The sequence below is a fragment of the Homo sapiens genome, chromosome 9 (genome assembly GCF_000001405.40).
Source record: "Homo sapiens chromosome 9, GRCh38.p14 Primary Assembly".
Taxonomy (NCBI): Eukaryota; Metazoa; Chordata; class Mammalia; order Primates; family Hominidae; genus Homo; species Homo sapiens.
In genome coordinates, this window is record NC_000009.12 from 103,267,746 (window position 1) to 103,284,350 (window position 16,605).

The window sequence follows — 16,605 nt, forward strand, 5'->3', positions numbered from 1 at the left end:
GTTCAAACTTAGGAGATTTTATGTTTCCAGGAATTTGTTAATTTAATCTAGGTTCTTTAGTTAGTATAATTGTTCATAGTAGTTTCTGATGATCTTTGGTATTTCTATGGTATGAGTTGTAATGTCTCCATTTTCATGTCTAATTATGTTTATTGGTATCTTCTCTCTTCTTGGTTACCCTAACTAGTGGTCTATTAATTTTTTTTATCTTTTCAAAGAACCAACATTTCATTTCATTGATTCTTTGTATTTGATGTGTTCATCTTCAATGAAAATATACTAGGAATCAACATCTAAAAGACAACTAGAAGATCTTCATATATTCGACAAACTAAGAATATAATTCTAAGTAGCCTATGGGCTAATTATTTTAACTAAATATTGCTTATCAAACTTTTTAATTCAGTTAAAATAGCACAGAAAAGAAAATATGTAGCTTAATATGCATATATTATAAAAATACTTAAAATTAACAGGCTAAGTATCTACCTCAGATAACAGATAACAGGCTAAGTAACACCAGAGATGTTAGAAAAAGAATGAAAAGATACAACAAAATAAATTAGAATGTATACAATATGAGTATGAGAAGAAGCTCCTAAAAAAACACAAAGACTTGATATAGTCAAAAGTTGATCCTTTTACAATTCTAGTAAAATATATAAATCTCTGGCAAGTTGGATAGAAAAAAAAAAGAGTAAAGACAAACAAGAGTAACAAATATGTGTAATAAAATAGAAGACTGATTCAGATTCCGAAGACATTAAAATGTTTTGGAGTATATTGTGAACAATGTTTTGTTTATGAATTCAAAATATAAATGAAATATATACATTTTTAGAAAAAAAATATTTTTTTAAATTGAAGGAATCATAGAGATTTGAAAACACCTGTAACAATAAAGAAATTTGATTATTGAACAAATATTTTCATAAACAAAATTTTAGGCTCAGATGACTTCACTAGCAAGTTCTACCGAAATTCTAAACTTTTACAAACTATTCTAGAGAAGTAATTAAAAGGAAGCTTGGCCATTATCATCATTCCTATTTAATATTTTAATGGTCCTAGATAGTAGATTCAGGTTAGAGGGAGAAAAAGCCAGTAAGGACAGTGCAAGAAATAAAGATCCCAAGACAATAATTAAATGTAATTATAAAATAACAACTAAAATAGTATTAATTCAAATCTAAAGTATATAAAAAGATAAACATCATGTGTAGGATTGGTTTATAACTAGAACATTATTATTTAAACCTAAGAAAGTCAGTCAATACAAGTCACCATACTCATAGCATATAATGAAAATTTTAAGTAAAATTTTAAGATCTGAATATATGCAAAAGGAGTAGTTGCTGTAATATAACATTCATTCATAATTTAAAAAGTAAAGCATTGTAGATAAGGAATTAATCTAGCAAACACCATGTTTTCTGTTTTTTACCTGCCTTGCTATTTATTTTATATTATCCTTTTGATTAATTTATAAACTTTATAGTTTGTTTTGTACACAGTCATGGTATCACAGTTAAAAAGAAAACATGGATGTGCTTGATTTTATCTGGCATTTGTTTCTAAAAAAAAGTTTATAAAATTATAAGCATGGAAAATTTGGAAGATTATTATGCTTAATTCAGATATATTCACTGCATTTGACTGCAACATTGTCAGTATAAATTTTGAATAACAACATGCTTTGTGTTTTCATTTCATGTTGTGAAGAAATGAGGCATGACCATTACCATCATTTCTATTTAATATTTAATATTTTAATTGCCATAGGAAGTAAATTAAGATTAGCAAAAGCAAAAAAACCCTGATATTAAGCATTGAAAAGAAAAAGGCAAAGCTGCAAGTTTTCAGAGACGATGTGACTGAATAAAAGAATTTTTCAAAATCCTATGATTCAATTATAATATTAGACAGTTTAGCAAGATTGCTATGTATATTATCAGTATAAAAACATTCTTATTTCTTCAGACAGCAGAAGAAGCATGATGCTGGCATATGCTTGTGGTAAGGACCACAGGGAGCTTACAGTCATGGTAAAAGCTGATGGGGAATCAGGCATCTCACATGGTGAGAGTGGGTGCATGAATAAACCATTTTCAAACTTACCATTTACAATTTTATATATCTATATATAACATATATAGATATTTGTAATTATATATAACATAATAGATAAAATACATAATAAAATCTAAGTTACATTTTAATCACAACAGAAAATCATAAGCATCTGTATTTTTCATAATTTTCTTCATGTTTACCTACACAACAAACACACACAAATACAGAATGATTTTGACACGGTTAATATTACAAGGTGAAATTATATACAGACTTCTATATATCTTAAATATCTGCAGCAATATCTCATGGAAAACACAAATCATTCTATGGCAACTGGAATAAATATAAAATATTATTTTTTCATATCTACCTTTCCAAACAAATGGTTACATCATAATTTAATTATTTCTTATATAGAAGAATATTTTCTAACTTATATGAATTTTTTATCATTTAAAAAATACTGCAAAAACAGCCTCACTGCTATATCCTATACGTGTGTGTGTGTATGTATAAATATTTTATCCATAATATGTTTAATCAATAAAAAGCAAATGAGCTCAACACAAATATATGTGAATATATTTTTGCATATATTTATATGAAAACAAGAAACAAGTATGTATGCAAAAATACAAAACAGGCTATCAAAAGTTGGGTACAAGAAGCATCTAAGCTTGTAAGTCATTCAGATAGGGAATAAATAAATTTACTTTTACATGCATTTATATATGCTTATCTATGCATATAGGAATAAAACATACATAGTAATATCTGTGTATGTAGGCAGTCCTGTATATTACTATAGAGCGGGACCATAAAAATAACCGTAAAAACTTAAGTCATGTAAAGGGATCTTGATAATCAATGAGAAAAATTATAATTGTTTCGTGGTCTTTAAAAATTATTTTCCAAGACATTAAAAACACTCTTATTGGTAGTTATGAATATATATGAAAATTAAAAATTAGTGCAACTGACATTTATTTTATACAATGTTAATTAAAACATTAGAAACATTTATGAATTATTTCCTTATTAAAACTGATTAAGAATAGTTTGAAGAGCTCTTGTTTTCTTCTCATTGTTTAACTTGTGATAAGAAGTGAATATCTTTATATACTTTGGTGAATTATGGTATCCTTTTATAATTTGGATCAACTTCCAACATGTTATTCTTTGCACTTTAAATGTGATTTGATATCTCCAAGAATGATTCTAATGTGAAATTTTCTGTTGATATGACTTCTTCTGTAACATCTTTATCCTTTTCCACATATGCACTTTCTCATTTATATGTTCCACTAGATTTATTTAGCAACATATCCACAGTGTCTTAAACTATGGGAGTGTCAATATTTCCGTGGTTTCCTATTTCATCAATTAACTCTACTTACATCAATTCCAATTTTACTTCTGGTGTTATCACTTTTTGTTTTATTGCTGTGCTTGTATCCTTGTTGGCTAATTTCCTGTTTGGAGTAACTTCTTATAAAATGTCATGTGACCTTATTACTGGATGCAAAAAGGCAGCATGACTATGTGGTTTGCTGCTGTTGTGTGAACTGAATAAAATGTGCGCAGTAACCAATAACTGACAGACTTGAAAGAAATAACCTGATTTTTTTTTTTGCGCAGAGGTGGGTTTTGGTCTCTCTCTAGTTGGCCCTGCCACTGCCAGCTGCAACTGCATTCCTGATTGCCTAGAAAGAAGATCCTTTGAAATCTGACATCTGTATCCAGACAGCAACATAATGATTCTGTAGCCAAGTTAGAAATAAGAATGGCTCTTGCACCTGCTCTCACCATGTAAAACGCCTGCTTCCCCATCACTTTTCAGCATGACTATAATCTCTCTAAAGTCCTCACCACAAGCAGATACGAGCACTATGCTTTTTGTGCCATCTGAAGAACTGATTCCGGAACCTAAATGCTTAAACACCAACTGTTTGGTCTGGTTATAAGAAAGTGGGTAAATTTTATACTCAAAAATTTTAGAAATTATCGAGTTTAGAGAGCGTATGGAGAGTTGATGCTGAAGCCAAAGTTGAAGAGAGAGGAATTTGGCAACACTGCACAGAGTGCTTAAAGGTTAGGGCTAGTTCCCACCCTCAAATGGCTCCTGGGAACGGCAGCATGGCTATGAATGCCAGGGAGTATCAAAGAGCCATGAGGTTGGGTATTTGCCTAGCTACTTACTGGCCATTAGTCTTAATCATCATCTGCTACTAAATCACATCCCACAATACAACACCAAAAATTATCCTCTTAACATATACACCTGTGAAACGAAGTGCAAAAATTCACCCACACATCAAGATCCTGTAAAGAGCTCAGGCCCCTTGAAAGCATCCAGAAATGAAGCTAACTGACTATACTTAACTCACACCACCGTTAAAGGAATATCAACCCTCCTAGATGAGACAGAAATTAGTGCAAGAACTCTGGCCATCCAAAAAACCGGAGTATTCTCTTACCTCCAAAAAAGCCCACTTGCACCCCCACCCCCAACACTGGTTTTTTAAGGAGTCTGAAGTGACAGAAAACACAGATATAGAATTCAGAATTTTAATGGTGAAGAGGCTAGTCTAGATTCAGGAGAAGGATAAAACTCAATGCAAGGAATCTAGCAGAACAATTTAACAGCTGAAAGACAAAATAGCCATTCTAGGAAAGAACAAAACAGAAATTCTAAAGCTGAAAAATTCACTACAAGATCTTATAATACAATCAGGAGTATTAACAGCAGAATAGACCAAGCAGATGAAATAATCTCAGAGCTCGAAAACCATATCTTCAAATCAACCCAGACAGGCAAAAATAAAAAAAGAGAATTTTTAAAAATGAACAAAACCTCTGAGAAATATGGGATTATGTATAGAGACCAAATCTATGATTTACTGGCCTTTCTGAGACAGAAGGAGACAAGACTTGGAAACTGTATTTGATGATGTAGTCCATAAAAAATTTCCTAATCTCACTAGAGATTTTCATGTGTAAATCAAATAAATACAGAGAACCCTGCCTAGATACTATATAAGATGACCATGCTCAAGACACATAGTTATCAGATTCACTGAGGTCAATACAAAAGGAAAAATCTTAAAGGTAGCCAGAGAAAAGTGTCAAGTCACATACAAAGGGAAGCCCATAAGGATAGCACCAGACCTATCATCAGAAACTTAAATGCCAGCAGAGATTGGGGGCGGGGGGGCTTCAGTATTCTTAAAGAAAAGAAATTCAAATGAATAATTTAATATTCCACCAAACTAAGCTTCATAAGTGAAGGAAAATGAAGTCTGTCTCAGAAAAGGAAATGCTGAGGGAATTCGCTTCAAGTAGACCAGTCTTACAAGAGGTCCTGAAGGGAGTGCTAAACATGGAACTGAAAGAATGACACCTGCTACCACAAAAACACACTTAAGCACATAGTCCATAAGCACTGTAAAACAACTACACAATCAAATCCTCATAACAACCAGCTAACAGCAAGATGACAGTATCAAAAGCTCTCATATCAATATTAACCCTAAATGTAAATGGGCTGAATGGCTGGATTCGGTTTGCTAGTGTTTCGTAGAGAATTTTTGCAACTAAGTTCATCAGGGATATTGTTGTGTCTCTGCCAGCTTTTGGTGTTAAGAAGATGCTGGCTTCATAGAATGAGTAAGGGAGGAGTTCTTCCTGGATTTTTTGAATAGTTTCAGTAAGATGGATACCAGTTCTTTGTACATCTGGTAGAATTTGGCTGTGCATTCAACCAAATTCTAGTAGAATTTGGCTGTGAGCATTTTTTTTTTCTTGGTAGGTTTGTTATTACTCACTCAACTTCAGAGCTAGATATTCATCTATTCAGGGTTTCAATATCTTCCTGATTCCATCATGGAGAATTATGTGTTTCCAGGAATTTATCCCTTTCCTTTTGATATTCTAAATTGTGTCCATAGAGTTGTTCATACTATTCTTTGACGATCTTTTGTATTCTTTGACGATCTTTTGTATTCTTTGGGATCTGTTGTAATGTCATCTTTTTCTATTTCTGATTGTGCTTATTTGAATCCTCCCTTTTTTCCCTTTGTTAATCTAGCTAGTGGTCTATCAATACTGTTTATTTTTTTCAAATAATCAACTCTTGATTTCATTGAACTCTTTTATGAATTTCTGCATCTCAATTTCTTTTATTTCTTCTTTAATTTTAATTTTTTTCTGTTAGCTTTGGGGTTAGTTTCCTCTATTTTTTCCTAGTTCCATTAAGTGCAAAGTTATATTGATAACTTCAAATTATTCTAACTTCTTGATGGTGTTTGTAACTATCTAGCAGCACATAGAAAAGTTAATACACTGTGACCAAGTAGGCTTTATCTCTGGGATGCAAGGTTGTTCATCATATACAAGTCAAGAAATGTTATTCACCACATAAACAGAATTGAAAGCAAAATACATGATTATCTCAATATATGTATAAAAATCTTTTGATAAAATTCAACATCCCTTCATGATAAAAAGCCTCAAGAAACTAGGCATCAAAAAACATACCTCAAAATAATAAGAACTATCCATGCCAAACCCGCAGCCAACATCACACTAAACAGGCAAAAGCTGGAACCATTCCCCTTGAGGATTAGAATATGAGAGGTATGCCCACTCTCACCAGCCCTATTCAAAATAATACTGGAAGTTCCAGCCAGAGCAATCAGGCAATAAAAATAAATAAAAGGGACCAAAATAGGAAAAAAAAAAGATATCAAACTATCTCTCTTTGTCGATGATATGATTCTATAGACAGGAAACCCTAAAGACTACACCAAAAAGACTACTAGAACAGGTAAACAATTTTAGTAATGTTTCAGAATACAAAATCAATGTTCAAATGTCAGTAGCATTTCTATACAATAATAACATCCAGGCTGAGAGTCAAAGCAAAAACACAATTCCACTTGCAATAGCCACAAAAAATAAAAGATATACTTAGGAAGACAGCTAACTAAGAAGGTGAAATGTCTCTACAAGTAGAACTACAAAGCACTGCTGAAATAAATCAGAGATGATGCAAATAAATAAAAAAAACATTCTATGCTTATGGATTGGAAGAATCAATATCATTAAAATGGCCATCCTGCCAAAGCAACTTATAGATTCAACACAATTTCTATCAAAATACCAACATCATTCTTCACAGAATTAGAAAAATAATCTAACATTCATATAGGACCAAAAAAAGATCCCAAATATACAAAACAATCCTAAGCAAACAAACAAACAAAAAACAAACTTGGTAGCATCACACTACCTGACTTCAAACTTTACAAGAAGATGACAGGAATGAAATCAGCATGACACTGGTACAAAAACAGACAAAAAGACCAATGGAATAGAACAGAAACTCAGAAATAAAGGTGCACACCTACAACCATCTTATTTTTGACAAGACTGACAAAAATAAGCAAAGGGGAAAAGGCTCTCTATTCAATAAATGGTGCTGGGATAATTGGCTAGCCATATGCAGAAGATCAAAGCTGGACCCATATCTTTTACTATATACAAAAATTAACTCAAAATGTATTAAAGATGTAAATGGAAGACCTCAATCTATAACAAGTCCTAGAAGAAAATTAGGAAATATCCTTCTCAACATCAGCATTGGAAAATAATTTTTGGCTAAATCCCCAAAAGCAATTGCATCAAAAACAAAAATTGACAAGTGGAACCTAATTAAGCAAATGGGCTTCTGCACAGCAAAAGAAACTATCAATAGAGTAAACAGACAACCAACAAAATGGGAGAAATATTTGCAAACTATGTATCCCACATAGGTCTAAACATAGGTCTAATATTTAGAATCTACAAGGAACTTAACAAGTAAAAACAACTCCATTATAACATTGGCAAAAGACATGAACAAGCAATTCTTGAAAGGACATTCAAGCAGCAAACAATCATATGAAAAAGTGCTCATCATCTTTAATCATCAAAGAAATCCAAATAAAAACTACAATGAGATACCATCTCACATCAGTTAGAATGGCTATTAATAAAAAGTCAATGATAACAAGGCTGGGCGTGGTGGAACACAACTGTAATCCTAGCAGTTTGGGAGGCCAAGGCATGTAGATCACTTGAGGCCACGAGTTTGAGACCAGACTGGCCAACACGATGAAACCCCATGTCTACCAAAAATACAAAACTTAGCTGGGCATGGTGGCACACACCTGTAACCCCAGTTACTCAGGAGGCTGAGGCAGGAGAATCGCTTGAACCCGGGAAGTGGAGGTTTCAGTGAGCCGAGATGGTGCCCCTGCACTCCAGCCTGGATGACAGAGCAAGATGCTGAAAAAAAAAAAAAAGTAAATGATAATAGATGCTGGTGAGGCTGCAGAGAAAAGAAAACACTTATGCACTGTTAGTGGGAATGTAAACTAGTTCAGCCACCGTGGAAAACAGTTTGGAGATTTCTCAAAGAATTTAAAACAGAGCTATGATTCAACCCAGCAATCCCACTATTTAATATATATCCAAAGGAAAATATATTATTATTATACCAAAAAGACATAGCTACTTGTATGTTCATTCACAGTAGCAAAGACATGGTATCAATATAGTTGCCCATTTATGGTGGACTGCATAACGAAAATGTGGTACATATACACCATGGGTTACTATGCAGCCATAAAAAGTATGAATTCATGTTCTTTGCAGCAATATAGATGAACTGGAGACCATAATCATAAGTTAATTAATGCAGGAAAAGAAAACAAAATGCCACAGGTTCTCATTTATAAGTGAGAACTAAACACTGAGTACACATAGACATAAGCATGGGACAACAGACATCGTGGACTACTAGAGTGGAGAGGGAGGGTGGTGTGGGCTTAAAAACTACCTACTGGGTACTATGCTCACTACCTATGTGCAGTATACTCATGTGAGAAAGCTGCAGTTGTACAATCTGTATTTAAAATAAAAGATGAAATTTCTTAAAAAAGAAGTAAGATGATTTTTTTTTTACTGATCATGGTGCACATATGTCATTTGCATGGTTATTTCTAATATTAGAAAGAAGAGCTAGCAGTGAAGCTTGTACTTATACTGCACAGTTAATATACCATTATGTCTAAACTTGTACTCATCCAAGCCATGCCAAGAGGACAACTTGTCTATTATGTGTATTTATAAAGGTATGAATAAATTCCATTGTTTTCTTTGTTACAACAACCATGTGTTTATCATTTTAATTTGGAAAATTTCAAATGAGTTACTGTGTAACAAAAATGAGGCGTATTATTTGCATGTGTAAGAGATACTGAAGATATTGCCCGTTTCGTCTCATAATTCACCTCTATCTATCCATGGTGCCAATTACAAACACCTGAGACTCTCTGCCTAAGGATTTTTTTTCTTCCTTGTTGTGGGTACACTAAGCCAGAGCAGTTAATCTGAAAGGGCAGGAACGTTAAATCTTTGGAAGTAGCCCTCAACCAGTGATGGAAGAAAAGTTGTCAGATACGCACAAACTTCTTGCTCTTCATTTGTCCTAACTCCAGGGAATGTTCTTTACTGTCTCTCAAAATATTGAAGAGGGATTTCCTTCTGCTTCTCTGGTGGTAATTTGCTTAGTAATCACATTTTATTGACTTCCTTTCTGGCCTTGTCTCATGTGTCCGTATTCTACCAGTGTTTTCTGAAAATAAATATATAACTTTCATTCTCATCCTTGAGGATGTCCTTCTGGAGAAACGCAAAATAAAGAAGTAAAAACAAAAGAAATTAATTCTGAGTAATTTCAGGAAAAATGCAAAATATGCCAAAAAATCATACCAAATACCAAAAAAGTATAATGATAAAATACTGGTTTCATAAAAAATATTTGTAAGTGCATTTGTTCTTTGTTCAGATTCACACATACAGACATCTCTTCTCCAGGTTGTGAGGAGTAGAGCATTATCACTCAAAGAGAAGTAAGTTCATTACTATAAAAGATCTTCAGTTGGAAGTTGACAAGTACAGGAAATTCTGTTAAAGTATTTGACTATTTCAAAATTCAGAAAAGGTAGAAACAAGGAAGGTTTAGGGAACTCAGCAAAAAGGCAAGTTTATACTTTTGTCCTAGAATATCCTCCAGACAATATTGTGAATAAGTTATACCATGAGAATATAAGTTATTTGAATTCACATACAGTAATGAATAAAACCCTTGATATTTGTCTCCAAATTAGGACATCCTCATCTATGATTTTTATTTTTACTCATTTTTAATGAATTATGGATGGGGAAAACACTTTCAAGGCATTTTTAGCTTGAATGTATTATTCTGTTTCTTGTGAGCAATCTTCAGTAATTCTGTATCACAGAACTCACAACAAGCATGGAATTAAATTGCTTCCATGAAAAACATCTTGAATTTGGTGTGTTGTTTCTTTGATTGGAGATACATGTTGACTATCACTATCTACAGAAATGTGCAATTTAATCATAGATTTCACTGTGTGAAGAAGAACTGAAACTCTGAGTAATGGGGCAGAACGCATTTCCAAAAGATTATTTAGGTTTAAAATTTTCTTGAGAGAAATCAGGTTGCAACTTTTAAAACCTACAACCTCATGTTTTTTCATTATGAAATTGGAAAGAGTGCTGACAATTTGAAACTAACTTTTGGGATTTGTTTTATTCCATGAAGAATAGCATAAAAATGTAGGAGAAAACACAATCTATTATTGGTTGACAATGACAATTAGAAAGGAGAGACAGGCGTAACTGAAATACTGAAATAAACATATTATGGAATGCATTAGTCCATTCTCACATTGCTATAAATAAATATCTGAGACTGGGTAATTTATAAGAAAAGAGTTTTAATTGGCTCATGATTCTGCAGGCTTACAGGATGCATGATACTGGCATCTGCCTGGCTTCTGTGGAGGCCTCAGGAAACTTACAATCATGGCAGAAGGTGAAGGGGAAGCAGGAACATCACAAGACAAAAGGAGGAACGAGAGAGAACAATATTGGAAGTGCTACAAACTTTTTAATGACCAGATCTCAAGAGAACTCACTCATTATTGCAAGGACAATGCCAAGGGGAATGGTGCTAAAACATTCATGAGAAATCTGCCCCTATGATCCAAATGCCACCCACCAGGCCCCAACTGCAACATTGGGAATTACATTTCAATATGAGATTTGGGCAGGGACACACATCAAAACCATATCATGGAGATTTCTCATTTTCTCTAGGGCCCTGGTGATCAAATTTCTGTTCTATAGCATAACAATCGTGCTCACTCCTAAACATCTTGGTGCTCCCTTTCTCTGTTTACTATAAATACTGCCTGGGTAATATCACAGGGTAACCGAACTTCAAGTTTTTCTATTTGTTGATGTTTCTTAAAAACAAACAGACAAATACAACTCTGGGTGTTCTCTTTTCTTATGAACTTCAAATCAATAACTCCAAATGTCCAGTGGAATAGTTCTGCCTCCATATAATTAATCTTAAAGCACTCATGCTAAAATAGTTATTTTGGAGCCACTACCATGCCCTAACCTATCCTTTTCTTTTCTGATTCTTTTCTGGGTAGTAACAACTCCATGAAAACATTCATACAAGCAAGAAATAATTGAAAATCTAGACTTCAAACCTTTTTTTCTTACCCTTTTAAGAAATCCAACAATTTACAAATTCCTGTTGAGTTCACTATCTGAGATTCTCTTGCATCTTTTTTCCTTTTCATCTGCACTACCATTTCTCTCTGAGGCTTTCGTCTCCTATCCCAGTTCATTACACCCTACAATTTACCCTCCATACTATCAACAGTATAACTTTTAAAAATGCAAATGTGATTGCTACACCTTGTTCTCACACTCTTCATTGTTTCTGCACCACCTACCTAACAAATCAAATGGTATCTCAGGCCTTTTCCACTTGTATATCTGGTGATACAGAAAACAGGATATTTGGAAAAACTTTACATGTAAAAAAACATGAAATTATTGAAGCAATACTCTAGAGAACCATTTTTATAGAACCATCACTGTTCTGACAAGAGAGTAAGGCGCATTCTGTGAGACCATAAGCAAATTTAAACACATAGATGTATTGAGTTAAATAGCAGCAAAGATGGAGCTGCCTTATGAACACTTACCAGTTCCTACTGACCTGCTCCTTCATTTATTTTGGCTACATAATGAACTATAAACAAAACCTTGAAAATGAGCATGCAACTAAGTTCAACTTGGAAATGCCCCTTCCTAAATTAAGATTGAGCAATGATACAGTTCCCATCCTTTAGTAATGTTGTGACAGAGAAATCCCCAAGCTAAAATGTTAAAATGACTAAAGAACAAAAAGCAGAAATAAAGAGGGAGGCAGGTAGGGAGAGAGAAAAAAAAAAAAGAGGGAGGGAAGAGGAGGAAAAGGAGAGGAAAGGAAGGATAAGAAACAAAGAAAGGAAGGAAAAAAGAAGGGAAAGAAAAAAGACAGAAAAATAAATCCACATCTAGATACATTGTCGTGAAGTCAAGTTGCTATGGTTTGAATGTGTCCCCTGCAAAATTCAGGTGTTGCCAATGTCATCTCATTAAAAGGTGAGATTTTCAGATGTGATTGGGCCATAAGGGATCCTTCATAGTTAATGGGATTAAGAGGCTCCATTCATCTATCAGATAGCTTGTTTTTTTGTCCTTCCACCTTCTGCCATGTGAGGACATAGCATTCTTTTTTCTCCAGAGGATGTGGCAAGAAGGCCTTCACTAAATATCAAATGCTGGCATCTTGATGTTGGACTTCCAGAACTATGATTTCCAGAACTATGACTTCCAGAACTATGACAAATAAATTTCTGATTTTTATAAATTATCCAGTCTGTCATATTCTGTTATAGCAGTTCTGGAATTCCCAGTCTTTGGTATTCTACTATAGTAGCATAAAGAAAGACACAAATTAAAAAAAAATTACTAAAGCAACTAACAAGAAAGAATGTTTATAAAAGAGCCAAAAAAATCAAAATTGACCTTTTAAAACAGAAGGGTATAAAAAGTATCTTTAAATCTTTGAGGAAAATAATTATCTAGAAATAAGTATCAGAAAACAGAGAATTTAACATGAATAGAATCTCACTAAAGATGTTTTAGTTGTCTACTGATTCATAAACAGTTATCACAACTCAGGAGTTTAAAACAACCCCCATTTATTTTCTCATAGTATGCAGCTCAGAGAGCAGGTAAGCTCGATTGAGTTCTTTGTCAAGGTTTTCATCAGGCTGAAATCAACCTATCAACAGGGCTAAGCTTTATCTAATTATCTATTACCAAGCTCATTCTGTTATTAGCAAAATCCTGTCCTTGCTGTTGTCACATTATAGTTTCTGTTTTCTCTTGGTTAGGTAATGCTCTGATCTCCAAGATGCTGTTCTCAAACCTTGCTCTATGGCCTCCTCAGCTCAAAGCCACCGACAAAGAACCTCTCCCACATCAAATCCCTCTCATATTTTAAATCTGAGTTCCCCTTTTGCAACCAGTTAAATAAATCTCTCTGTTTCTAAAGGGCTCAAGGGATTATGTTAGGCCCACCCGGATAATCTCTGCTTCCTAATCTGTGCCATATAACATAATAGAAGCATGAACAATATATTTCATCATATTTACAAGTTTCATTCACATTCAGAGGCAATAGGATTATATAAGAGAGAGTATCATTGAAAATCATTTTAGGATTCTGCCTACCATGAAAAGCTGTTTACAATTCGACTTAACAAAGTAGAAAAATTATTTACAAATGTATAATCAAAAGTGTAAGAAAGAATATTGAATAAATAAAATAGTAATCATGTGAGTAACTTTAAATAAAAACTAGCTAAATAAATTAATGATAATATTGCCTAATATTTGGGATTAAATCAATTTAAAATAGTTGAAGCACTTATCTCTGGAGTAAAGCTGGAGTTAAATCATTCTAAATCTTTATATTGTTTAAGAATGGGGTAAAACCACTAATTTACTTCATACATATTTTTTAAATCCATGTTATGATTTTCAAAAAATCCACTAAAATATAAGAAGGTACATAACTAACAAAGAGAATGAGAAAATATAAAAAAATCATAATTTCAATTAATCAAAAAGTAGAAAGGAAGAAAAAAATTAGAAAAAGCTATACAAGTAGAAAGGACAAAGGAAGCTTATAAAAGTGAGTTTATATAGTAATCAAACTGAATGTGACTGAAATGAACTCTCCAGTTAATACACAAAGATGATTAAACTGAATTAACAACAGAAAAGTGTCTGTTTGTTGTTTATAAGAGCTAAGTATTAAACATCGGATAAAAGTCAAACGTAAAAGTATAAAATAGATATATCAGACAAAAGTAGCAAAAAGAAAGCTTGTGCTATGATATTAACATTTGATGAAACAGAGTTGAAGACAAAGCATTTCTAGAGACAAAGAGAAACATTGTATAATTATAAAAAGTTTAATTTTTGAGTAATATATAATGCATCTAATAAATAGCTTCCAATTATATAAAGCAAAAAAAATGACTAAAATACAAGGAGAAAATAACAAATATGCCATGACATTGACCCAAGCTTAATCTACCACTGTTAGCACTGAATAATCAAAGAAATGCAATACCTTATGAAAAGCACAATTAACAAGTTTTGTTTATTGAGCCCACCTAGATACTATAACCAACACCGGATAATGCATTTTGTCTTTTCTAAGCTATATGGACTATCAATACAAACTGCCAGTGTCCTGGCCATAATAAGCCATGGCCATGCTGAGTCCCATTATTTTTCCATTTTCCTCTATGCTCTGACAATACTAACACATGAAAGTTTTTATTTGCAGGCTTTTGCCTACGCTGACTCTTCTCCCACTGATCTTCTTTAGTCCCCTTCTTCCCAAGTGACTTATTTACTCATTGTAAACAAAATAGAGTTATCTCTTTTGAGAAGCCTTTCCTAACCCCGAATGAACTTGATTATTCTGTTGTGTTTATTACCCATTTATCTTCATCCATTTATTTGTTTACATAGTCAATCATTTTTCTGATGTTCTTTCAGTGTGCCACAGGCTGTGCACTTATTAGGGATATACCAGTGAGAGGGGAAAAAAAAGTCCTACCTAATGGAATGTCTAGACTGCTGGTGAGAACAGATTTTAATTAAATAATCAATGAGAATAGAAATGCATACTCCAAAAAAAACAGAGCAATATAGTGTATGAGAACACTTAATAGAGGTATCCAACATTATCTGAGGGGCTTGAAAACCTTTTTGAATAAAATTTTGAATACTTATGATTTACAAATAGACTTATTTCATATATACTGATATGACTCCAGGCATTCTTTCTAGGATTATGCACTTTTACTATTTTAATTTAATTTATTTGATTCCACATACTATGTAATGTAATTGTTGCTTTATTTGGTTAATGTTTATTTAAAATAACTCACACAATTACCATTTTCTTTGCTCAACACTCCTCCTTACACTTTTTATAATACTTAGGTAATAGATTTTCTTTTTAAAAAATAGAGTCATGGATCCATTGGATTTGGTTAAATTAACAATTAGACCTTCTTAATACAAAGCACTGTCTCTTATCTCAGGTTAATGTTTCTAATACTTTTTGCTACCCTTAACGAAAAAAATAGAAAATAAGAAAATAAAAAAAATAACACAACTTACCCAGAGTTGCACAACTTACGGAAATACTTGTTAAAAATGAAATTCATGCCATATATATTTTGTTTTTTGCTTGTTTCATTTAAGCAAACATTAAGATTATATTGTAAAGTATTTGTGGGCATCTGTCTGTAAATATTTACAGAAGAAACATACCAGTTATATTCTCACTCTATAGCTATAATAATCAATCTATAAGATATAAACATTAATGAGCTAAGCAAAAGTAAAATGTTTCCAAACTAAAATGAGGGACACTGTCATAAATCAGTAAATAAAAGCTTCATGCTAGTGAAGAAATCATATCTTCTTGGTAACATGGATACCCTGGGATGTAACCAGCAGAGAGATGATAAATACCTCTCGACTAATGTGCCAGGCATGGTTTAAGCCCTTCAAATATGCAACACCACAAAATCATCACATAAGTCTTATAGGCCGGGTGCAGTGGCTCACGCCTTTAATCTTAGCACTTTGGGAGACTTAGGCGTGTGGATCACCTGAGGTCAGGAGTTGGAGACCAGCCTGGCCAACATGGTGAGACCCCCATCTCTACTAAAAATATAAAAATTAGCTGGGCATAGTGGTGGGTGCCTGTAATCCCAGCTACTCGGGAGGCTGAGGCAGGAGAATTGTCTGAACCTGGGAGGTGGAGGTTGCAGTGAGCCGAGATGGTGCCATGGCACTCCAGCCTGGGCAATAAGACTGAAACTCTGTTTCAAAAAAAAAAAAGTCTTATGAAGGACAACTGCGGGCAAATTATTGGATAATCATTGTGAGTCAGAGACTTAATGGACATTTTTTATTTGAGTTAATATAAAATATTCACAACTGTTGTATTCA

The 16,605-nt window shown here is 33.2% G+C and overlaps 1 long non-coding RNA gene across 1 annotated transcript in view; it reads right to left on the bottom strand.

The window, feature by feature from the left end:
* LINC01492 (long intergenic non-protein coding RNA 1492) overlaps nucleotides 1–16,605 on the bottom strand; it is a 184,506-nt gene that overhangs the window by 127,218 nt on the left and 40,683 nt on the right. Inside the window, exons 4-5 of the long non-coding RNA NR_121578.1 lie at nucleotides 9,585–9,754; nucleotides 8,286–8,403 (exon numbers count right to left, since the gene is read on the bottom strand). This is a non-coding gene — a long non-coding RNA (long intergenic non-protein coding RNA 1492). The remainder of the gene's footprint in view (nucleotides 1–8,285; nucleotides 8,404–9,584; nucleotides 9,755–16,605) is intronic.